The 25,329-nt window shown below is 39.7% G+C and overlaps 1 protein-coding gene and 1 long non-coding RNA gene across 7 annotated transcripts in view; one reads left to right on the top strand and one right to left on the bottom strand.

Annotated features, from left to right (window-relative positions):
* Positions 1 to 15,417, bottom strand: part of PPP1R42 (protein phosphatase 1 regulatory subunit 42) — a 64,452-nt gene extending 49,035 nt beyond the window's left edge. For 3 of the 5 annotated variants that reach the window (NM_001364912.2, NM_001364910.1, NM_001013626.4), the window contains exons 1-3: positions 15,354 to 15,417; positions 4,482 to 4,694; positions 1,289 to 1,455 (exon numbers count right to left, since the gene is read on the bottom strand). In NM_001364912.2, coding sequence (NP_001351841.1) covers positions 1,289 to 1,455; positions 4,482 to 4,610 — 296 coding nt within the window. In that variant the 5' untranslated portion in view covers positions 4,611 to 4,694; positions 15,354 to 15,417. The remainder of the gene's footprint in view (positions 1 to 1,288; positions 1,456 to 4,481; positions 4,695 to 15,353) is intronic. The other 2 variants (NM_001364911.2, NM_001348563.2) reach the window with 1 other exon arrangement.
* A 23-nt stretch (positions 15,418 to 15,440) lies between these two features.
* LOC105375885 (uncharacterized) lies at positions 15,441 to 24,475 on the top strand. 2 transcript variants are annotated; one of them, XR_929017.2, is made up of 4 exons: positions 15,441 to 15,508; positions 18,951 to 19,003; positions 22,574 to 22,627; positions 24,340 to 24,475. It is a non-coding gene; the product is annotated as an uncharacterized LOC105375885 (long non-coding RNA). The 2 variants fall into 2 exon arrangements; XR_929016.2 differs by lacking the exon at positions 15,441 to 15,508 and adding an exon at positions 15,524 to 15,963.
* The last annotated feature ends 854 nt before the right edge of the window (positions 24,476 to 25,329 follow it).

The following is a 25,329-nucleotide window of genomic DNA, read 5'->3' on the forward strand; positions in this document are numbered from 1 at the left end:
TGTCATGGTCTTTATTAAACGTGACAAAAGTGTAATAACAAAATCACTGAGCTGAACAAAATTATAAATGTGGAATGTTGTGTTATATTGAATCTATGAAAGGTTGGTTTATCTAAATGAGAACAAATTATATTCTTACACTTAATTTAGTCTAAAAGTACATTTTTTTTTTGCTTTTTAAAAAAGTGAGCGAATTGCAACATACAATTCATATGTTGCCTAACATATGAAAAGCCCGGGTAGATAGTTTGATAATAACCATTTTTGGGTTGTAGGTTTAAAAAATGAAGATTTCACGGCTAGACACAGTGGTTCACACCTGTAATCCCAGCACTTTGGGAGCCTGGGAGTTTAAGACCAGTCTGGGCAACATAGGGAGATCCCATCTCTAAATAAATAAATAAATAAATAAATAAATAAATAAATAAGCAAGCCAGTCAGTTATTGTGGTGCATACTTGTGGTCCCAGCTACTCAGGAAGCTGAAGTGGGAAGATCACTTGGACCTAGGACATCAAGGCTGAGATGAGTCATGATCGCGCCACTGCATTCCAGCCTGGGTGACAGAGCGAGACTCTGTCTCAAAACCAAGAGATAAAAGGAAAAATGAAGATATCTGGGCCTAACCCCTGGAGATTCTAATTTGGATATGTAGGTTGGAACCCAGTGCTCTGCATTTTTAATAAGCATTCACCAGCCAACTCTTGTGTCCCCATTCTGAGGCTTTTAGCCGTTTCTTTGAGGAGCATGATAGTTACTCCAGTCTGGGGAAATTGGATCCACCAATCTTCATTGTCTAATTATAATCACTATAGGTAGTAAATGCCTTTTTACAATCAAGTTTACATCAATTGGATCAATTATATGACGCAGATGGTATGAGATATATGATTCTGAAAGGCACATAACTCATCTGGGTTCCGTGGAAACTTCTTTTATCAGTTGAGCCCACATGAGGATGTTTTAAGTATCCCTATTAGCACTTAAGACAACCCTTCCCCAGAATGAAAAGTATATCAGGCTTAATAAAACACAAATTATTAATATTATATGTGAAACAATTTACTTCTTGTTAATAATAGTAGGAGAAAATAGAAATTGAGGTCTGTTCCACAAAACCCATGTGGGAATCATATGGTTTTTTTTCATATAAGTATGAAATCATATCAATTTCATATTGAATTTACTTTTGGAATTTAATGCAAAAAATGGAAATGCCTTCATGCAAAAAAATGTAAGTACCATAATCATAAAAATCAGATACATTATTAAAAAATAAAAGCACTTACAGTTTTTCCAGTTTCTTTAATGACCTGAGGTTCTCTATACATGAAATACAATTGTTTTGTAGGTACAAGTGGGTCAGATTTGTGGCATAATTCAGGTTAGTGATTTGACTAATACAATTATCATATAAATATAAAACACTAAGATTTTTGCAAAGAGAGAGGTCTTCCTAAAAGGGAAACAAAAACATGTCAAATGTAATTTCTCCTGAAAACTTAAAAGTTTGTTTTTAACAAAAATTTTCAGTTGATCATTCTACAAATTTCTCTAAGGTTAATATAAAAGAACAGTATTTCTCTGTTCTTGGCACAGTTAAAACAAGACTAGACTGATTACAAAAGAAATTCTGTAATATATTTTTCTTTTTTTAGAAATTCTGTAATTATATCAATAAAACTGGAATTGTTAAGATTTTCCCAGTGCAAGCAATTTTCCTTGGAAGCAATTAGGCTCCTCTGGAAGTTGGAGCATTGAATAAATTATTGTCTCAACATTATAAATAGGGTTTAATATTTCTGTAGAATTGGAAGTCAACTATTGTGGTTTATAATACTGAAAACTGGGAGTCATCTAGATATCCAAGAATAATAGATTATTATTATTTTTTTTTCCTGAGATGGAGTCTCATTCTGTTGGCCAGGCTGGAGTGCAGTGACGCCATCTCGGCTCACCATAACCTCCGCCTCCTGGGTTCAAGTGATTCTCCTGCCTCAGTCTTCTGAGTAGCTGGGACTACAGGTGTGTGCCACCATGCCCGGCTAATTTTTGTATTTTTAGTAGAGACGGGGTTTCACTATGTTGGCTAGGCTGGTCTCGAACTCCTGACCTCGTGATCCACCTGCCTGGGCCTCCCAAAGTGCTGGGATTACAGGTGTGAGCCACCGCGCCCAGCCTCATAGATTAATTTTTTAAAAACTATGATAATGCTATCAAAAGAAATACTGTAGAACCATTAAATATCCTTTTGTTTCTTCAGCAATATCTAATACATAGTTAAGTGAAATTCATAATATATAGTTAAGTGAAAATAGTACATTCAATATGACCCACTACTGTAAAATTATATGAATAAAAGACTGAAAGGATATTACCTAAATATTAAAAGTGATTGTGTCTGAATAGGATTACATTCTTTCTTATTATATGTATATTATATGAAAAAGAACATCAATTACTTTTTTTTTTTTTTTTTTGAAACAGGGTCTGCCCAGGCTGGTGTCAAACTCCTGGGCTCAAGTGATCCTAGCGCCCTAGCCTCTAGAGTAGCTGGGATTATAGGCATGCGCCACCATGCCCAGCTACCAGTTACTTTTGAGATAAAATAATTAAAGGGATTTTTAAAAAGGCTGCCATTTCTTGTGTCATGGCAGAGATCAGCCTAGAGTAAATAGACAAGCGGTAAAGTGAAGTTCTGCTCAAAAATTTCTCAGCCTTCATTAACTTCTTTTAAAATACAGCTATGTGTTGGAAACTGTAAGTTTAGAAGTTATTCTCATTTTAGTGTGAATTACTTTAACCAATTTGCCTTCCTTCTAACAAAGATCATCCACCCTGGAGGAGCACTGATTGATGTGAGGACAGAGTATGAAATAGGGGCTTTACTGGGGGCTCTCCAGAGAAAGTAGTCTTACATGATATGATGAGGTAGAGAGTTCTGGGCAACAAAAGAGAAACATTAGGTTTGGGCAAAGGAATTCGTGGGAAGAAGGATCACCAGGAAACCAGAAAGGGATCTAGAATGGGAGCTGGGTTGGGGTCCCTACAAAAAAACCAAGCATTTAATTGATCATTTTGCCTGGGGCATTAGTATTTCTTTCATTTGTTCAATAAATATTTATTAAGTACATGAGTCAGGCATTGTAATGGATGAGGGATTTAGAGTGATGTGAAACAATAGACATGATTTCTGCCCTCAGGTAGTTCCTGTGTTTCCAAGAAAATTTAGCTCACCTGTAGTCTAGCATTTACTGTAGACAACAGATACCAACACAAATGGCCTAAGAGTGTTATTGCAGCCTTTAAAGTTTCCCAAATTACAGCCAAGAATTACCTTAGTGCTGAGAAAATGTAGTTTCAGATTATATCCAGATAAACATAAACTTGTCTGATGTAATTGACCCAAGTATAACATACATTTACATAACCAGTTAAATTCTGTGCAAAAAAGATTTCACTGTTAAACTCTTTTTTTCTTGTGTGAATTTTAATTTTTATTTCCATAGTTTTTGGGGTAAAGGTGGTTTTTGGTTACGTGGATAGGTTCTTCTTTTTTGAGACGTAGTCTCACTTTGTTGCCCAGGCTGTATTACAGGTGTGACCCACCACGCTTAGCCAGGATAAATTCTTTAGTGGTGAGTTCTGAGATTTTAATGCATCCTTCACCTAAGCAGTGTATGCTGTACCCAATATGTAGTCTTTTATCCCTCATCCCCTTCCCAACCTTCCCTCACTGTTAAACTTTTGAAAAACGGTACTCACATACTTACTTCTTAACATTTTGGTATATTTCAAAAATTTATATTTCAAGGTTTTACAATAATACAAAAGTAATTAGTATCTATGAAATTATTTCCCAACATACACTTTCAAATCTAGTTTGCTACACTATACAGTGTTGTAGGAGAACTGTAATACATATATTTAATCTATGTATTTAAAAATCACAATAGTATATTTTATAGATTTAATTTTAACAAATTTAAAATCACAAGTAGGAAGTTAAAATAAAAACACAATATAAAGCTTACTGATAAAAATAAGTTAAATAAGGCCGAGTGCAGTGGCTTGCGTGTGTAATCCCAGCACTTTGGAAGGCCAAGGCAGGCGGATCACTTCTTGAGCTCAGAAGTCTGAGCTCAAGAACTCAACATGGTAAACCTGGGCAACATGGTGAAACCCCATCTGTACTAAAAATACAAAAGTTAGCTGGGCATGGTGGCACATGCCTGTAATCCCAGCTACTCGGTAGGCTGAGGTACAAGAGTCGCTTGAACCTGGGAGGTGGAGGTTGCAGTGAGCTTTGATCATGTCACTATACTCCAGCCTGGGCAACAGACGGAGAGAGACTCTATCTCAAAAAAAAAAGTTAATAAGAATAATGAAAATATAGTTAAAATATTAGGTATGCTCCCAAACCAATTCCTAAATTTTACATTATTAATTATATAAAATAGGAAATAATTTCAAAGTTCTTACAATTGCATCTATATTTTTGTCTGAAAAATTTATATGAGTTATTTTCTTCAGGCACTGTGAAATGGTTTCTTCTTTTCGGGGTTTAAGATTGCTGTTTCTGGCAATTAGATCCAAGGTCAGTCGAACCATAATTTCTTTATAAATCAAACTCTCAGCAAAAGCTCTGTTTTGACACCATGTCAAGAAGTAGGTTTAGGTATTATTTCCAACTTTCTGAAGATTAAAGAAAAAAGGAGCATTATGATATCATAGCAATTTAAGGAAAAGTTATTCTGACTTACTCTTTAAATAATTCCCTTATATGAAACTATTTGATAAGCTAGTTTATAGACATTTTTAGGGGCACTGAGGTATTTTCTAAGTTTATAGACATAACTTCATAAAAAGATTTAAAGCATCAAAATTAAACGCACAATACTCATTACTCATTCACTTTTACTTTTAAATCTTTTTTTCTTCCTGAGTAGTATTTGAATCATTGCAAGTATCTTTTTTTCTTTTCTTTTTTTTTTTTGAGACGGAGTTTCGCTCTTGTCACCCAGGCTGGAGTGCAGTGGCACAATCTCAGCTCACTGCAATCTCCCCCTCCCAGGTTCAAGCGATTCTCCTGTCACAAGCCTCCCGAGTAGCTGGGATTACAGGAGCGTGCTACCACGCCCCAGCTAATTTTTATATTTTTAGTAGAGATGGGTTTTCACCATATTGGCCAGGCTGGTCTCGAACTCCTGAGCTCAGGCAATTGGCCCGCCTCGGCCTCCCAAAGTGCTGAGATTACAGGCGTGAGCCACCGCGCCCGACCTCTTTTTTCTTTTAAGAGACTGGATCTCATGTTATGGTTCCCAGGCTGGCGTGTAGTGGCTATTCACAGGCATGTAGGCATGATCATAGTGCACTGCAACCTTTTTTTTTTTTTTGAGACGACTCTCGCTCTGTCGCCAGGCTGGAGTGCAGTGGCACGGTCTTGGCTGACTGCAACCTCCGTCTCCTGGGTTCAAACAATTCTCCTGCCTCAGCCTCCCAAGCAGCTGGGATTACAGGCATGTGCCACTATACCCAGCAAATTTTTGTATTTTTAGTAGAGATGGGGTTTCACCATGTTAGCCAGGCTGGTCTTGAACTCCTGACCTTGAGATCCGCCCACCTCGGCTTCCTAAAGTGCTGGGATTACAGGAGTGAGCCACCGTGCCTGGCCCCCGCCCCCCCCCCCTTTTTTTTTTTTTTTTTTTTTAGGGACGGAGTCTTGCTCTGTCTCCCAGGCTGGAGTGCAGTGGCGCAATCTCGGCTCACCGCAACCTCCGCCTCCCTGGTTAAAGCAATTCACCTGCCTCAGCCTCCCAAGTAGCTGGGACTATAGGCACACGCCGCCATGCCCGGCTAATTTTTTTTTTTTTAATTTTAATGGAGACGGGGTTTCACTGTGTTGCTCAGGCTGGTCTTGAACTCCTGAGCTCAGGCAATTGGCCTGCCTCGGCCTCCCAAAGTGCTAGGATTACAGGCATGAGCCACTGCGCCCGAGCCATGCACTGCAATCTTTGAACTCCTGGGCTCAAGTGCTCCTCCTGCCTATGCCTCAGCTGGGACCTACAGGGGTGCACCACTACGCCTGGTTTATGAGCATCTTTTTTTTTTTTTTTTTTTTTTTTGAGATAGTCTCGCTCTGTCACCCAGGCTGGAGTGCAGTGGCGTGATCTCGGCTCACTGCAACCTCTGCCTCCTGGGTTCAAGCAATTCTCTGCCTCAGGCTCCCGAGTAGCTGGGATTACAGGCGCCCACCACCATGCCCGGCTAATTTTTGTATTTTTAGTAGACACGGGTTTCACCATCTTGGCCAGGCTGGTCTTGAACTCCTGACCTCGTGATCCACCCACCTCGGCCTCCCAAAGTGCTAGGATTACAGGCGTGAGCCATCGCGCCCGGCCTTATGAGCATCTTTTAAAGGATTATTATTCACTCTTGGAGTAAAAAAGGCCCTCGAGGAATATCCTCTAATGTTCTCATTTCACAGGTGAAGAAACTAAGTCCCCAGCACTTTGGGAAGCCGAGGCGGGCGGATCACAAGGTCAGGAGATCGAGACCATCCTGGCTAACACGGTGAAACCTCTACTAAAAAATACAAAAAATTAGCCAGGCATGGTGGCGGGCGCCTGTAGTCCCAGCTACTTGGGAGGCTGAGGCAGGAGAATGGCGTGAACCTGGGAGGGGGAGCTTGTAGTGAGCCGAGATCACGCCACTGCACTCCAGCCTGGGCGACAGAGCGAGACTCCACCTCAACAAAAAAAAAACCAAAAAAACAAACAAACAAAAAAACTAAGCCCCAGAGATTTATCTTAAGCTACTCAAGCTAGTGACAGTTGAGAAAGGGACCAGGTCTCTTGGCTCCTTTTCCCATAGTACCCATAGAGACCATATGTCTGAAATCCCTAAATCAGAACACATGGTGTGAAAACCTTAAGTACATAGGACAATGGTGCAAAATACTTGAAAATGAAGCTGGCCTAGAAATTTATGTTTTATTAGTACAACCATAATCCACAAAGAGGCAACATAATCCAGGGTTTTTTGTTGTGTTTTGTTTTTGTTGTTGTTGTTGTTGTTTTTTTTGATATGAAGTCTTGCTCTTGTTGCCCAGGCTGGAGTGCAATGGCGCGATCTCGGCTCACTGCAACCTCCGCCTCCTGGGTTCAAGCAATTCTGCCTCAGCCTCCCGAGTAGCTGAGATTAACAGGCGCCTGCCACCATGCCCGGCTAATTTTTGTATTTTTAGTAGAGACGGGGTTTCACCATGTTGGCCAGGCTAGTCTCGAACTCCTGACCTCAGGTGATCTGCCTGCCTCAGCCTCCTAAAGTGCCGGGAGTACAGGCGTGAGCCACTGAGCCCGGCCAATCCAGGGTTTTTCAATCCAGATTGCCTGGTTCCAATTTTGGCTTCATCACTTACTAGTTAGGCATCTTGGGCAGGTTACTTCAATTTCTTACAAAATAAGGATAATAATAGTCCCTATTTCCAAGGGATAATGTGAGGATTGGTGAAATACTCATTATAGAGTGTTCTGCACAGTACCTGGTACATAGGTCAATAAACATTTGCTATCATTATTATTATTCTGTTACTGGTTTGTTCACAGATAAGTTTATCTTAACTGTATCACCAGAAATATATCAGGACTGTTAAATATGGGAAACATGCCGGGGGGCGGTGGTGCGTGTTTGTAGTTCTGGCTACTGGGTAGGCTGAGGCAAGAGGATTGCTTGAGCCCACGAGTTCCAGGTTAGCGTAAGCTATGATCATGCCACTGCACTCCAGCCTGGGTGACAGAGGGAGACTATCTCTAAATAAGTAAATAAAATATTGCCATATATTGTCTATAGATTTGAGGTAACCCGTTTTTTCAATTGCCCAGGAAGTATAGCTATTTAAGTGATAAATATCCCAGTTTCCCCAATTGTGCTTCACATTCTTTTACTACAAATGTAACCAAAAACACAGTTTAAAATTAAACATTATTCCAGTGTATATGGAATTTAACCAATAAAATACCTCAATGTGAACAATATTCTGTATATGAAATCAGTGCTTAGAAGGAAAAATGAATTCAGTAGACTATAAATTAAATTTGTATACTCACACATTGGCATTACCCAGGCTATGTTATTATAAATTGCCCACAATAAAATATTTGAAGATATGGAATGTATTCTTAGACTCTTCAAAATGCAAAGTACAGCCTACAGAATAAAATTATAAAATCTTAAGCCTCAGAACTGAGCAGAAAAAAAAATTATAAAATCTTCGTAGATTTTTGAAATTTGCATATATCTGATTATTTTTATAACAAAATTTTAAGCTTATTGTTGACTTTTCAGACCACATTTCAAATATGATACTATATTCTGAACAAAGTGTCTAATTCAATAAAAATAACATTACCTTGAAAATATTTCATAAAATATTTCATGATAAAAGTATAAGAATAGTATAACACCTATGGACCCACAGGTCAGCTTAAAATATAAAACATTACAAATACATTTGAAACCCCTCTATACCTTTCTTCCTCTTCATTCTCTTAAATTTAGGATTTATCTAAAATTTAGACTACTCATGTTTTTATGCTTTTACTACAGATGTATGTATACCTAAACCATATATAGTACTGTTTTTCACAATTTTACATGTTATCAATGATATTAATGATATTATTCTGTCTTTAGCTTTCTTTTCTGCTTTATGTTTTGTTTGTGAGAGTCATCTGGGTTGATGTATGTAGCTCTACAATATTTACTATACAATATTCCATTGTAAGAAATTAATTTTTCCTAATGATTGATCTTTGAGTATTTCTTTTTTTTCACTTTTACAATGTTGCCTTTATGATTTTGTATATATCATTTAGCACATGTGCAAGAGCTTCTTTAAGGTTTAAAACTAGGAGTGGCCACTTCTGGGTTGGACATTTCAACTTTACTATATACTGCCAAATTTTTCTCCAAAGGAATTTTACCACTGGCAAGTAAAAGAGTTCCCACTGCTCTGCACCATTGTTGGCACCTGATATTGGCAATCTTTAACTTTTTGCCAAGCTGATGGGTATAAAATGATATCTCACTACTGTGTTTTAATTTGCCATTCTCTACTTATTGAGAGACTGAGAGTATTTTCCTGATTATTGGCCATGTGGAGTTTCTCTTCTGTTAATTGCTATTTCTTATATTTTGCCCATTTTTCCTACTGAGTTCTGCTTTTCTAAGAAATTTTTAGAACACACACACATTTCTATTAGATACTAATATTTCATTGATAATATGTGTTGCAAATGTCTTTTCCCAGACTGTAGCTTGTCTTTTCTCTTTTTCACTTGTTAGTTTGCTTTTAATGGTATCTTCTAAAAAACAGAAGCTTTACTTTTTAATATAGTCAAATGTATCACTATTTTTCTCATGTTTTGTGCTTTTTGTGGCTTATTTAATAACTCCTTCCCTACCTTAATTTCAGAAAAAAAAAGACCTATATATTCTTCTGAACATGTTAAAGTTTTCCTTGATGCATTTTGGTCTTTATCTAGAGTTGATTACTGTGTAGGAAGTGAGATATTCAATATTTTTTTCCTTATGAGAACCAATTACCCCAGTACTTGGGGTGTTTTCTCTTCTATGGTTCTTTTCTCTTCCATTATTTATATATTTATCTCCATGACAACACGGTCTTAATTAGTATAGATTAATAATCTCTCTCTCTACTTGGGTTATTCTTGGTCCTTGACTCTTTCATATAAACTTTAACATCAATTTTTCATTTCATGAAAAGTCCTTTCATGATTTTGTTAGGAATTGCAAATTTATAAACAATTCATGAAGCACTGACATTTCTCTAATATCAAGTCTTCTTTTCCATGAGTACGGTAAGTCTCTCCATTTTGGTAGTGCTAATTTAATGATTTTCAGTAGTTAAAATTTTTTCTTTTATATTTAAGGCCATGCATAAGTTTTTTGTTTTGTTTTGTTTTTTCATTTGTTTGTTTGTTTTTGAGACAGGGTCTCGCTCTGTACAGTGGCCTGATCTCGATTCACTGCAGTTTCCATCTCCCAGTCTCAAGGGATCCTCCCATCTCAGCCTTCCGAGAAGCTGGGACTACAAGCCTGCGCCAGCATGCCCAGCTAATTTTTGTATTTTTAGTAGAGATGGGGTTTTGCCAAGTTGCCAGGGGAATTTCAAACTCTTGGGCGAAAGCAATCCACCTGCCTCAGCCTCCCAAACCGTTGGGATTGCAGGCATGAGCCACCATGCCCAGCTCGAGTTTTTATTTTTGAGTTATTGGGATCATAGATTTTTGTTGATATTGCAAATGTTATTCTTTTAGAAATTGTATTTTCTGTTTGTAGCCACTGTATAGAAATGCAGTATTTTTAAAATATTGATTTTATATCCAGCAACACTGGTAAGGACACATTAATTTTATTTTATAGAGTCTTTGGGTTTTCCATGTAGACAATCAGATTATATATGAGTAACAGTCTACTACTTCCCAAACCTTTTATCTCTTTTTTTTCTTTTTTATTGTGTTATTGCACTGGCTAGGACCTCTGGGAACAGTGTTGAATAGAAGCGATGAGGGCGTATACACTTGTCTTATTGCTGATCTCAAAGGAAATACTTGCAACATTTCACCAAGTATGATATCTGCTGTAAGTTTTTTTTTTTTAGTATGATATTTGCTGTAAGTTTTTTTTTAAGATAGCCATACTCAGCTGGGCACCGTGGCTGATGCCTGTAATCCCAGCACTTTGGGAGGCTGAGGTGGGCAGATCACGAGGCCAAGAGATCGAGACCATCCTGGCCAAAATGGTGAAAACCCGTCTCTACTAAAAATACAAAAAAAATTAGCCGGGCATGGTGGCGCGCACCTGTAGTCCCAGCTACTCAGGAGGCTGAGGCAGGAGAATCACTTGAACCCGTTAGGAGGAGGTTGCAGTGAGCTGAGATCGTGCCACTGCACTCCAGCCTGGCGACAGACCAAGACTCCATCTCAAAAAAAAACCAAAAAAAAGATAGCCATACTCAGATTAAGAAAGTGCTTTTATATTCATAGTTTGTAAAGTTTTTTTTAAAATCATGAATGAATGTTGATGGTTATGAAATGTTTTTCTTTTGCATTAGGAGATGTGGTGAAATACATTAATAGACTTCTAATGGTTCTTTTTGTATGTGTGTGTGTATGACAGGGTCTCACTCTGTCATTCAGGCTGGAGTACAGTGGTGCAATCTCGGCTCAGGCAACCTCTGCCTCCTGGGCTCAAGCAATCCTCCCACCTCAGTCTCCCGAGTAGCTCATGCCCTACAGGCTCATGCCACCATGCCAGCTAATTTTTTTTTTTTTTAGATGGAGTCTTGCTCTGTTGCCCAGGCTGGAGTGCAGTGGTGCATCCTGGCTCACTGCAAGCTCCCCATCCCGGGTTCAAGTGATTCTCCTGCCTCAGCCTCCTGAGTAGCTGGGACTACAGGCGCCTCCCACCAAGCCCAGCTAATTTGTTGTATTTTTTTTAGTAGAGACGGGGTTTCACCGTGTTAGCCAGGATGGCCTCCATCTCCAGACCTCGTGATCCACCCACCTCGGCCTCCCAGAGTGCTGGGATTACAGGCGTGAGCCACTGCACCCAGCCTAATTTTTGTATTTTTTGTAGAGACAGGGTTGTACCATGTTGCCCAGGCTGGTAGACCTCTAATGTTAAATTTTTTTGCATTCCAGCGATAAACCAAACTTAGTCAGAATAACATATATACACAAATTAAGTTTGCTAATATTTTATTTAGGATTTTAATTTTTTTTTTTTTTTTTTGGTACAGATAGGGGTTCACTCTTGCCCAGGCTGGAGTGCAGTGGTGTGATTATAGCTCACTGCAATGTCAAATTCCTGGGCTCAAGTGATTCTCCCACCTCAGCCTCTTGAGCAGCTGGGACTACAGGTGTACACCACCATGCCCAGCTAATTTTTTATTTTTTTTATTTTTATAGAGACAGGGTCTTACTATGTTGCCAAGGCTGGTCTCAAACCCGTGGCCTCAAGCAATCCTCCCACCTCAGCCTCCCAAAGTGCCAAGATTATAGGCATGAGCCACCATGCCTTGCCAGGAATTTTTTCATCTAAGCTTAATAAGGAGGTTTTTCTTTTCTTTTTTTACAGACAGGGTCTCATTATGTTGCCTAGGCTGGTCTCAAACTCCTGGGCTCAAGTGATCCTCCTGCTTTGGCTTTTCAAAGTGCTGGGATTACAGGTGTGAGCCACCATGCCCAGCCTATCACTTGAGTTTTTACTTCAGGCTCTGTTTTCTAACTTTGGCTAAAACAGAAAATTTGGATCACCTGAAACCTCATGAATGGCCATGCTATTTTGTAGGGAAGGCAAAATCTTACCTCTTCCATCTTAGGGTTTTTTTTTTTTTTGTGGCTGAGCCTAAGAATTAAATTGACATACAGCAGATCAAGAGGAGAAAAACAAGCAAATTTAGTTAATACAAGTTTAATGTGGCATGGGAGCCTTCATAAGAAATGGAGACCCAAAGACGCAGAGTTGTATACTTGCATACTAAGTTAGAAAAAGGACAGTAGGCCGGGTGCGGTGGCTCATGCCTGTAATCCCAGCACTTTGGGAGGCCGAGGTGGGCAGATCACTTGAGGTCAGGAGTTCGAGACCAGCCTGGACAACATGGTGACACCTCATCTCTACTAAAAATACAAAAATTAGCTGGGCGTGGTGGCACATGCCTATAATCCCAGCTACTCAGGAGGCTGAGGCAGAGGAATCGCTTGAACCTGGGAGGCAGAGGTGGCAGTGAGCCCAGATCGCACCACTACGCTCCAGCCTGGGCGATAGAGTGAGACTCCGTCTCAAAAAAAAAAAAAAAGAAAAAATAAGAGCATAGTAAATTGTGAAAATGTGGCCGGGCGCGGTGGCTCATGATTGTAATCCCAGCACTTTGGGAGGCCGAGGTGGGTGGATCACCTGAGGTCAGGAGTTTGCGACCAGCCTGACCAATATGATGAAACCCTGTCTCTACTAAAAATACAAAAAAATTAGCCGGGCATGGTGGCATATGCCTGTAATCCCAGCTACTCGGGAGGCTGAGGCAGGAGAATCGCTTGTACCCAGGAGGCAGAGGTTGTGGTGAGCCAAGATTGCACCATTGCACTCCAGACTGGGCAACAAGAGTGAAACTCCATCTCAAAAAAAAAAAGAAAAAAGAAAATGTGACAAGGTAAAGGAGCTTGGGCTAGGGCTAGGGTAGTTGATTGGTGAAGGGTTCCTGTAAAAACATTTGTTTGTACAGCTTTTCCTTGGCTTCAGCTTCTAGTCCTTGATGGTAAGAATGATACTTTCTAGTATAGGGAGGAAATCTTTCACATAAAAATTTATTCTCCTGCTTTTAAGAAAAAGAACAGGCAGGGTGTGTTGGCTCACACCTGTAGTCCCAGCACTTTGGGAGGCTGAGGTGGGAGGATTGCTTGAGCCCAGGAGTTCGAGACCAGCCTGAGCAACATGGCGAGACCCCTGTCTCTACAAAAATAAATGAGCCGGGCATGGTGGTACACGCCTGTGGTCCCAGCTATTTGGGAGGTTGAGGCAGGAGGATTGCTTGAGCCTGGGAAGTCAAGGCTGTGGTGAGCTGTGATTGCGCCACTGCACTTCAGCCTGGGAAACAGAGCATGAACCTGTCTCAAAACAAAAAACAAAAAACAGAATAAAAGTCAGAGCAATCGTCTTTTACCTGTCATTTTTCAAGTGCTTTTTTTTTTTTTTTTTCCTGAGATGGAGTCTTGGTCTGTTGCTCAGGTTGGAGTTCAGTGGTGCGATTTCGGCACACTGCAACCTCTGCCTTCTGGGTTCAAGCGATTCTTCTGCCTCAGTCTCCCGAGCAGCTGGGATTACAGGCATGCACCACCACGCCTGGCTAATTTTTGTATTTTTAGTAGAGATGGGGTTTTGCTATGTTGGCCAGGCTGGTCTGGAACTCCTGATCTCAAGTGATCCGCCCGCCTCAGCCTCCCAAAGTGCTAGGATTACAAGTGTGAGCCACCATGCCCAGCAATTTTTCAAGTGCTTTTATCTAAATATAGTCAATATGCCAGAGCAGCATATTTTGAAATGACATATTCTTAATACTTTCACTTTAGAAATGGATTCCGTCTATAGATTTCAGTGTATAAACTGGTGTTCACATAGATAAAAATTAATGACCTTAGATAATTTTGGAAAAGGACAGAGGCAAACTTTGTATGTAAGTGAAGTATTTATTAAACCAAGGGAAGGTCAATGGACCTCATCAGCAAGCTATAGGAAAACTTTCTAGGGGCTTGAATATGGAAAAGGAGAGAACTGAATCAACCCACAACACAAAATAATAGACTGTTAACTCAAAAGAATTTGCATTGTAGCAGTCCATAAGAAAGAATTTAGTTTCATCAAAACACCACCATTCATCTTGTTAAAAACAATATTAATTTAAACTGTATTGGTAGTTTTTATTGTTTTAGAAAATTAAAAGCTTCAGGAGCTTAAACTGAACCTAAAGTGGATTTGGATATATTTTAGAACATTATAATAAAAATAATGTCCGCACTTGTGAAGTGTCTTTGGTTTTCTTTTAAAAGAGATTGTGTTCTAAAGTTTGAGAAACTGCTTTTGCCTACTTTCCACCTTCTAGATATCTCGTGTTACTTTGGGACTCCTCTTACTAGATCTCTCTCTCCCAGGCCACCGGTGGGAACAGCTTAGAGCTTCTTTACAGGCTCTAGGGATCCATTTTATTGTTAGCTTTTTGTTGGTGTTTTTTGTTTTTTTGTTTGTTCGTTTTGTTGTTGTTTTCCAGCTTTTCGGTTTGGGGGGTACATGTGCAGGTTTCTTACATGGGTGGAATCCATTTTAATGGACCCCTTGGCTTTCATCTACTGGAATTCCCACAGACTAGAGGCAGTGGACAACGTTTTCTGAATTCTGTTAGTATCTATACTTCCACTTAGGCCACAGGCTCAGTGGCTTCCAGATGCTCTAAATCACTGGCTCCAGCCCTCAGGCTTTTCAAAACCCTTCCCTTTCAAACTCAGCTCCACGCCCACCGGGCTGCTTCCTCAGCCCCGCGACCACCCCTCCACCTGTGTCTCCCTCCTCTAGAGCTGTTTCACAATCTTGCCAGCTAACCATTTGTTAAAAACACAGACTTCCAGACTATTTTTTCTGGAAATTCTGTATGTCTAAAGATAGGGCCCAAGGATCTGCATTTTAACAAATGTCCCGGAAAGTCTTACTGGCAGGCAAGTTTGAGAAACATGGTTCTAGGGTTTCCTCGGTCCCCACGCTTATTCCCCGCGGGCAGCTCACCGCTCGCGGGACAGTCCGGTAGCTAACTCCAGTTTGGTCGGTTTCATCGGCGCCGGGTCCCTACGCAGACCAGCGGCGGTTGCTGGGCGACCAGACGCGCTGTCCAAGCGCCGCTCACGAGAAATCTCGCGACATCGCAGGCTGCTCCCTCCCCGGTGGGTCCTTCCCCTGTGAGGCGGCGGCCGGGCGCTGATGGGCACTGACGGTGGTCACTAGGCCGACTCCGACTAGAGTCCTGTTAGCTTGAAGAGGCCGTGAGGCATCGGTCACCGCATTGTTTTAGTGGACCAGTTAGTAGCCGGAACAATTTTTGGCAGACCACCATTTCCCCCTACCGGATTATCCTGCCATCGGCTTTGACCGTTTCAGTGCCCAACAACCACCTTTTCCCAATAACAGACCAGGAAAGGAATTATCTGATTCAGAATACAGCCTGTACTCCATCCTTTCCTCGGTGAAACCTCAAATTCCTTAGGGTGACATTGAGGGCCATTTATCATGACCAACCTCACCGCTTGCCGCCTGCCCTCTACACTCCAGTGTTTTTCAGTATACCCTGTTCTTAATAATAAAAATAATAATAATTCCCCTCTCTTCTCCGCCCTTCAAGGTAGGCATAGCACACACTTTCTCACCTCCTTCAGTCTTATTTTTCCTTTTAAGATTTAAAGACTCAGTTTGGAATTAGTGCAACCTTTCCGAAGTCTTCCTGGGTATCCCATCTTGTTAAGTAATGCCCTTTCTTCCCCCCAAACAGCTGAGATGTATTACTTTTTCCAGCATAGCACTTAATACAATATTACATGTTAGCTACTTAGCCATATCTCCAATGAGGTGGTAAATTCTTTGAGGGCAAGGATTATGTGGTTTACCTCGCTATTTCCAGGACCTAGCAAAGTGCCTTGTTCATTAATAGTTACTCCATAAATGTTTGCAAAATGAGTAATTTAATTGCAGAAGAAGAACAATAGTACAGGGAACTGACATTTATAGTGGAAAGCCTGGGGCTCATTAGGGATATGGTGAAGTGAGCAGTCTGGATGTAAGGGACAATGCAAGCTGGAAAACATTTGAGTACCAGCTGTGATTCTGGTGGAGAAAAGGTCGTCATTGCCATTCTTTGAGCAAAGACGTGTCAGAGCAGAAGATTGTTAGAATGCAAGGCAGCTTAGAGCTCATGAGGGTAATCCAAATTGCCATTTTGCAGATAAGGAAATTCCCAGGGCTCAAAAGAAGAAAGAAACATGCTCAAGGTCACACCTGGGGTGACAGAGAGGGAACTTCTTGGCCTCCTGATTTCAAGCCCACTTCTCCTTTCATTTTATCCCCCTGACCATTACAATAAGAGTATCCTAGGAAGGTGGGGGAATGGTGGCAAAGGAGCCCTAACCCCATTCAGGATATTTTTGCTTAAGTCCAGTTGTGAGAGCAATCTTGGCCTGGGTTGGAGTGAAGGCAAAGAAAGTGGAAAAGAATGAAAAAATTTAGGAGATATTTTGAAGCATGATTTAATAGAGACTGGATAGTATAAAGGGAGGGGAGAAGTTGAAGATAATTCCCAGATGTTAGCTATGATAAAGGAACAATACTGGGGAAAGAGGAGAGATGGTGAGTAATTTGAGGGGAAGTGGATGAGTTTGGTTTACATACATTAAGTGTGAGGTGAGAAAGGTTTTAATAGTCTCCAATATAAAGCTGATTATTTAAACCATGAGGCCATAAATGGTAGGGAGGGAGAAAATAAGGAAAGCGAAATAGTGGGTTAGTAGCTATGCCAACTAGTTTGGATAAAAGAGGGAAGAAAAACTAGTAAAGATGGTATAGAAAGAATCATCAGAGGTAAGATTTGTCCTGAGAAGTACAATAATTCAGTGATTCCGAAACTCATAATTCAGATTCAGACACTGGGGGAGGGAGTTTAAAGAGGGGGTACCTAACAGAATAAAAAGCCACAGAAGGATAAGAAATAAAAGAATGGCTGGGCATGGTGGCTCATGCCTGTAATCCCAGCACTTTGGGAGGCTGAGGCGGGTGGATTATGAGGTCAGGAGTTTGAGACCAGCCTGACCAACAAGGTGAAACCCCGTCTCTACTAAAAATACAAAGGGTGGCTGGTCATGGTGGCGTGCGGCTGTGATCCTAGCTACTCGGAAGGCTGGAGGCAGGAGAGTTGCTTGAATCTGGGAGGCAGAGGTTGCAGTGAGCCCAGATTGCGCTATTGCACTCCAGCCTGGGCAACAGAGCGAGACTCTGTCAAAAAAAAAAAAAAAAAAAAAGAAGGAAAGAAAGAAAAGAATGATCAACGTAATATGGCTAAAACACTACTAGAGGGGTACGAATTAGATGCCCCTCAATTATCTGTTTTGTAGTTCATTCATTTGGGGATAACAGCTTTAACAATGATGCAGGGCTGGTCCATTGCTCTGTGTAGCACTTGGTCAACTTGCCGCTAGCATTACTTTGCTAGGAGCCTTGTTTAGCAATGCCTCATTGAAAATCAGTTGCTCTGGAAATCTTCCTTTTGGAACAATTGCATATATCATTATAAAACGGAGTATTATTTCATTTGTGGTAATATTTAACACATTTAACATATTTAAATTAAATAACATTTAAATAAAACATATTTAAATGTCTAAAAGGATATACATATAGATATATACCAAAATGTTTAATAGTGGTTGTTTCTTGGTGATAGAATTATGATTGTTTTTTCTCCTATTTTTATTAACAAGATTTTTTTTTAATGATAAAATTACATTCTGAAAATTTATTTTGGATTCCACTGTTCATGGAATTGAAAATGTCTCTGTGACTGCTGGTAGTTACAGTGGTTTGAATTACTAATTTTTCTTTTTCTTTTTCTTTTTTTTTTTTTTTGAGACGGAGTCTCACTCTGTTGCCCAGGCTGGAGTGCAGTGGCACGATCTCGGCTCACTGCAACTTCTGCCTCCTGGGTTCAAGTGATTCTCCTGCCTCAGTCTCCCAAGTAGCTGGGAGAACAGGTGCGCGCCACCACACCAGGCTAATTTTTTATGTTTTTAGTAGAGACGGGGTTTCACCATCTTGGCCAGGCTGGTCTTGAACTCCTGACCTCATGATCCACCTGCCTCAGCCTCCCAAAGTGCTGGGATTACAGGTGTGAGCCACCGTGCCCAGCCGAATTTCTAATTATTTTTTTGATGCAACAAGTTAAGAGAAAGTATTTTCTCATTAAGATGTGAAATATAGGCCAGGTGCAGTGGCTCACGCCTGAAATCCCAGCACTTTGGGAGGCCGAGGCAGATGGATCACAAGGGCAGCAGATCGAGACCATCTGGCCAACATGGTGAAGCCCTGTCTCTATTAAAAATAAAAAAATTGGCCGGGTAGGGTGGCACCCACCTGTATTGCCAGGTAGTCCCAGCTGCTCAGGAGGCTGAGGCAGGAGAATCGCTTGAACCTGGGAAGTAGAGGTTGCAGTGAGCTGAGATCGTGCCACTGTACTTCAGCCTGACAACAGAGCAAGACTCCGTCTCAAAAAAAAAAAAAAAGATGTGAAATATAATTCCTGTCTGATGGCACAGAATGTTAAACAATCATCTGTGTATTTTCCAGTGTGGCAGAAATTTGGCAGACTGCAAGAAATACTTGTCTTCAGTACCAAATTTGTAAGTTCAGCATAAAATACTCTAAGATTTACACTTTTACAGATGTTGGGAAATAAGTATTTGTAAAAATATATATATTGTGAAGCCTTGAGAATCATTTTAAAAGGTACTTTTGGAAGAATGATGCTAAAAAGCACATTTGTAAAAGCCTCAACTAGAGTTTCCAAGAAACCTTAGACGGAAACATACTTTATATTTCATATATTTTTCTTTGTAGCCCGTATGTATTTCTTGACCTTCCAGAGTACATACAGCACACCAGTTTTAATGATTAGTTATCTTTCATTGAGAAACCAGCAAGTTAAAGGGCCCAGACATGCGTAACATCACATAACTCCATAAAGAAAAATTTTTTGTTAATGCCTCTTTTTGTCTTGATCTTGTAGATTGGTAAATATTAGTTATATGGTAAGCAGACTTCTAAGATGGCCTCAGCGATCTCACCTCCTGATATCCAGGCCCTTGTGTGATCCTCTCCTCTGGAATGTGGACTAGACCTACTGACCTGTTCTAGCCAATAGAATAAGGCAAAGCTGATAGACTATCTTTCTGTGATTAGGTTACAAAAGATTGTAACTTCTGTATTGTTAGCAGACTTTATTACATTTTGGGCTTGCAGTCTTTGAAAAAACAAGTTGCCATTTAGGAGAGCACATATGGCAAGGATCTGAGGATAGTCTCTAGCCAACAGCTAGTGAGGAACTGAGACTGTCAATCCGATGAGAAACTAAATGCCAACAAATACTGTCTGAGCTAGGAAGTTGAGCTTTCAGATGAGATCTCATCCGTAGCCAACACCTTGATAGCAGCACTGTGAGAGAGACTCTGAAGCAGAGGACCTAGATCCCTGACCTACGAAATCTGTGAAACAATATGTGTAATTTTAATCACTGAGTTTTGCAATTTGTTATATAGCAATAAATACCTAATAGGAGCAATGGAAAATTCCCTTAAGGAGAGGTTTATTCAGAAAATTGGGACATTATTCCTATTTTTATAGGACATTTCAAATGGAAACTCAGAGGAGAGAAAAGAAAGTGACTACAGGAAGCTTAGTTAAGCAAGTATATATTGATCTATCTATCTATCTATCTATCTATCTATCTATCTATCTATCTAATCTATCAGAAGCGGCAAGCTGTAGAATCAATACAAACAAAACCCTTTTGGTTATGGATGAAGCAGTCTCTATTCAAGGTATCCTGTAACCTGAAGATGATCATTTCATTGGGAGCTTCTGTAGAAGATACTAAGAGCCCTCTAAGGCCATGATGTACACAATATGAGCCCTAATAATAAGTGATTTTTAAAAAATAATTTAGTAACTGATTTATGTAATTTATTATATATTGTATTTTATAAATATAAATGATTATTACATAGATTATATATAAAACAATCCATGGTATTTCTTCTGCGTTCCAGACCTATGCATCCAACTGGCTGCTAGACATTCATTCCACCTGGATATAAATGTCCTGGAGGCATTGAAAACTCAAGCTGTCAAAACTGAACTCATTTCCATCCTTCACAAATCTGATAGACTTTCTCTAGATCCTGTCTTGCTCACAGTTCACCCTACTACAGATGTAGAGCCTGAGAGCCATCTCCAGTACTCTCACATATTAATACTAGTCACCAAACCATGTCCACTTAATCTCAGCATGACTTTCAAATCTAGCTTTCTCTCCACGTCCCCATCATTAACTAACAACAGATGTGAAAGGACTTTGTGAAGTTCTATTTTTAAAAGTTATATTAATTTTAATACACAAAGATTTTCTCAAGTTCTATTTTTACAGTTCTATTATGTTTAATATAGACTCTTTTCTAAAATGGTTCACTTGCACTCATCACTAGAGGATCAAATTGAAATAAATATAACATGTGAGATGTGGCTATAAATTAAGGATCTCAGCTGAAAATCAGTTTCATTACCTTAAAGACGCATTTTTTTTTCGAGATAGGGTCTCTGTCACTCGGGCTAGAGTGTAGTGGTAGGATCACAGCTTACTGCAGCCTCGACCCTCCGGGCTCAATAGCTCGCTCACCTCAGCCTCCCGAGTAGCTGGGACTACAGGTGTGCTGCAATGCCCGACTAATTTTTGTATTTTTTATAGAGATGAGATTTCACCGTGTTGCTCAGGCTGGTCTTGAACCCCTGGGTTCAAGCAATCCACCTGCCTCGGCCTCCTAAAGTGCTGGGATTTCAGGTGTGAGCCACTGCACCCAGCCTAAAGACACATTTAATATTATACCTTAAAGTAAAAAGATTTTACCTTAAAGTGAAAAGAAGCTTTCTGAAAAGTATTTTGTAAACATTGCCGCTAGCACTCTAATTTAAGTAACGTTTTATCTCAATTTCTGTAACATTTATTGTCAATAGAGTCTAAAATTTTAGTTTGAGTTTTCAGGTAGCATTTGCAAGACATGCACATACAATTTTAGAAAAAGTTTAGATTAGGTTTCAGGAACAGTTCCCTGCTTATGTTTTAGGAATTTCAAAAAAACTGTCTTTTGTACCAGAGATGGGGAACCTCTGGAGATTCAAGACCAAATTTGCTTCAGTTTATCAGGCCAATAATAAGTTCAGCAAAAGTTTAATTAGTTTGTGATGGATAGGGGCTAAGAGTGAAACTCAGCAATGTAATATACTCTATCCTCATATCTTTCAAAATAAAATAAGTGAAAACATGTTATATATCTGTATACCTCTATTTAATTGCTTCACTTTTTGGTTCCTGTTTGCTTTTTTTGGTAAGCTCATTTGAAAAGAGTTCCACTCCTCCATGATTGTTTTTGTAAGTGGCTGGTGCTTTTTTAATAGTAGTGTGTCCTTTTATATATTTCTACAGTAGTGATCCTTTATAGAATAAGGCTTTTTTTTACTCCTATTTTAAACCTCTTAAGAAGTTTCGGTAAAAAGTACTTATTTTTATAATGATCTCACAGTGTAACAAAAGTCACAGTGGTGCATGCCTGTAGACCCAGCTACTTGGGAGGCTGAGGCAGGAGGATTGCTTGAGCCCAGGAGTTTGAGGCTGCAGTACACTATGATTGTGTCTGTGAATAGCTACTGTACCCTAGTCTGGGCAACATAGCAAGACCCCATTTCTAAAAAAATAAAGTCACTTTAAAAGTGTGGGTACCAGGCCAGGCACGGTGGCTCATGCCTGTAATCCCAGCACTTTGGGAGGCAGAGGCGGGTGGATCACGAGGTTAGGAGATGGAGACCATCCTGCCTAACATGGTGAAACCCCGTCTCTACTAAAAATACAAAAAAATTAGCCAGGCATGGCGGCGTGCGCCTGTAGTCCCAGCTGCTGGGGAGGCTGAGGCAGGAGAATGGCGTGAACCCGGGAGGGGGAGCTTGCAGTGTGCCGAGATCGCACCACTGCACTGCAGCCTGGGTGACAGAGCAAGACTCTGTCTCAAAACAAAACAAAACAAAAACCAAAAAAAAAAAAAGTGTGGGCACATTTAATTTCCTCCTCTAAAAATGCAGTATATTGTTGATGTTTCTGAAAAGCAAAAAAAATATGTGCAGTAAGTTATTTCTTTTCTGAACAGATATTTATGGGTTGACTGCCAGGTGCCACTGCTTAAGGTGCTGGGGATACAAAGGTGAGTTAGAACAAGTCCCCACCCCCATGGAGCTTACATTCTAGAAAGGGGAGACAGACTAATAAATCAAGCATCCAAATAATTTGAGATTGCAGTAAATTCTGTGAAAGAAAGAAATAGAGTGTAATGAAATTGTGTAACTGGGGTAGGGAGGAAGAAGGGAAGGAGAAAGGTATTTCCTTGAGATGAGGGAGATGGGCATTTGAACTGAGACAAGAATGAGGAGCCAGGTGTGTGAGAGCCTGCAAGGAAGTGTTCCAGGTCCAGAAAGCAGCCACTGTGAAGGTTTGGAGTGGGGAAGAGCTGGGTGAGCATAAGGACCCAGAGGACAGTGTGGGTGGAAGACAGTGAAGGAGTGGGAGAATGGGTGAGAGGAAAGTAGGAATCAGATGTAAAGGGCCTTTTGGTCACAGTGAGAAATTTGGATTTTGGTATTAATATGTCATAGTATTTAACTCATAAGGCAGAATGTAAATTTTCCTTTTGTTAACAGGAAAAAACTAACTTTATTGTATGTATTATATTTAGAGTTTGAAGGAGAGAGCAGTTGCTACTTTATAAGATGAAAAAATACTGTTTTTGTAGTGTGATATTAGTGTAATTAATAGTATTAAGGATGCCCTTAGAAATATAAGCAGGAGGGTCTTGAGAACTTGGAAATATATTTCAACTTGTGTTCCCAATTGTCAGATTCAATATAGCTGTTGTTTTAGTTTTGCTTTCTGGTGTAGGTAAGGCATGTGTTAATTATTTTCAGATCTTGGGATAACTAGAAGTCTATAATGTTGATGTCTGTCTATATGAATTACCATTTCAACATTCCATAGTTTTAAGTGATGTAGTGTTTACCTTAAATATTAAGACTAGTTAGACTCATAATCTTCCCTAAAAAGTGGTGTTCATTTGTAATTCTGACATCAGTGGCCTATCAAGGTAACTTTCTTCAAGCTACAGAACATTTCACTTTTTTCTTTTCTCCCCTTCCTTCCTCCCTCCCTCCCTCCCTTCTTCCTTCCTTCCTTTTCTTCCCCCTCCTCTTCCTCTTCTTTTCTTCTTCTCCTTCTCCTTCTTCTCTTTCTTCTCTTTCTTCTTCTTCCTCTCTCTCTCTCCCTCCCCTCCCCAACTCTTCTTTTTATAAAACTTTTACCCCCTTTCCTAGAGTGCTGATACAGAACCTTTCAGATGGCTGTACTTATTCAACATGATGTGTCCTCACATATAAGATCACATATTAATTTCTGGCCAGGCGCGGTGGCTCAGGCCTGTAATCCCAGCACTTTGGGAGGCCGAGGTGGGCGGATCACCTGAGGTCGGTCGGCAGTTCAAGACCAACCTGACCAACATGGAGAAACCCCGTCTCTACTAAAAAATACAAAATTAGCCAGGCGCGGTGGCGCATGCCTGTAATCCCAGCTACTCGGGAGTCTGAGGCAGGAGAATCGCTTGAACCCAGGAGGCGGAGGTTGCAGTGAGCCGAGATTGCGCCATTGCACTCCAGCCTGGGCAACAAGAGTGAAACTCCATCTCAAAACAAACAAACAAACAAACAAAATCGCATATTAATTTATTCGCCTAGTTTGTGTTACTTTATTTTCTAAGCCCAGAACCTTAAGATAGCTTCAATTATACTGAAAAGATATGCAAGAAATGATAGATGGATTATATAGGAGTTGAAGTAAAAAGTTAAAGCTAATTCTATATGTGTTTTAAAGGACTTATTTAGCAACATCAATGATACACAGAATAAATTCAACTGAATTTAAGAATGGAGTATGAAGTAGCAAGTGCTAGGAACAAAAATGAATCATATAAGTTAAACATTTATTTGGAGATGAATTTATACCGACTGATTTTTCAGGAAGGTAAGTAGTTTAAAGTAACAACTATCAATGGTAAACATATTTATAGTTGTACAATAGGTACATATAATAATCCTCTGAAATCTAATATAAAGTCTAAACCAAGATTTATTGTAGACAATATACTTTTTAAAGCATATGACTCTTAGGTTTTGAAAAGCACAACTGTAGTTCATCAAAATGTGCCCAAGGCACAAATACCATTTTACTCAGTCATTAGAAACTTTAGCATAATTGCTTAGTATAATCCAAAGAAAATATGAGCATTGACATCAGGGACTCTCCAATTTGTTAAGCAGTTGTTCCATAATTTTTGGCACCAAGATAATCCACATGTTGAAAAAGCAATTAATCATTGGTGTTAGTTATCAAGCTATGATTTTAGCTGTTTCCTCCCAAATGACCTGAAATGATAGAGTTCCTGATTTTATTTTTGTAATATTATTTCTGAGATCAAAAGTTTAAGTATGCCAATCTGGTCACAGTTGACCTGAGTTTCTTGTGTTATTAGATTTCTAAAGTACGTTATAACTTTATGTTTACAAAGATAAATGGTATTTCTTCTGGTAGTATATAGATAAAAATTTTAGAAACCTTTAGAAACCTATAGACTGATTATCTCAGAAGTAGTTACTTAAACTAGCATTTTGGCCCCAAGAAAGTAAATTTATTTGCTGTTGGAGCTTGTACTGAAAATAGGCCAAAATGACAGAACACACAACTAGACTTGCAATTTTCTAACAAGTATTTTATGAATACAATGGCATAGATACATCGATTATTAAACAGTGAATGACATTATGATCTCATTATAATTTAAACAGAATTATATTTTATAAGAAT

The sequence above is a fragment of the Homo sapiens genome, chromosome 8, assembly GCF_000001405.40.
Source record: "Homo sapiens chromosome 8, GRCh38.p14 Primary Assembly".
NCBI classification, from domain to species: domain Eukaryota; kingdom Metazoa; phylum Chordata; class Mammalia; order Primates; family Hominidae; genus Homo; species Homo sapiens.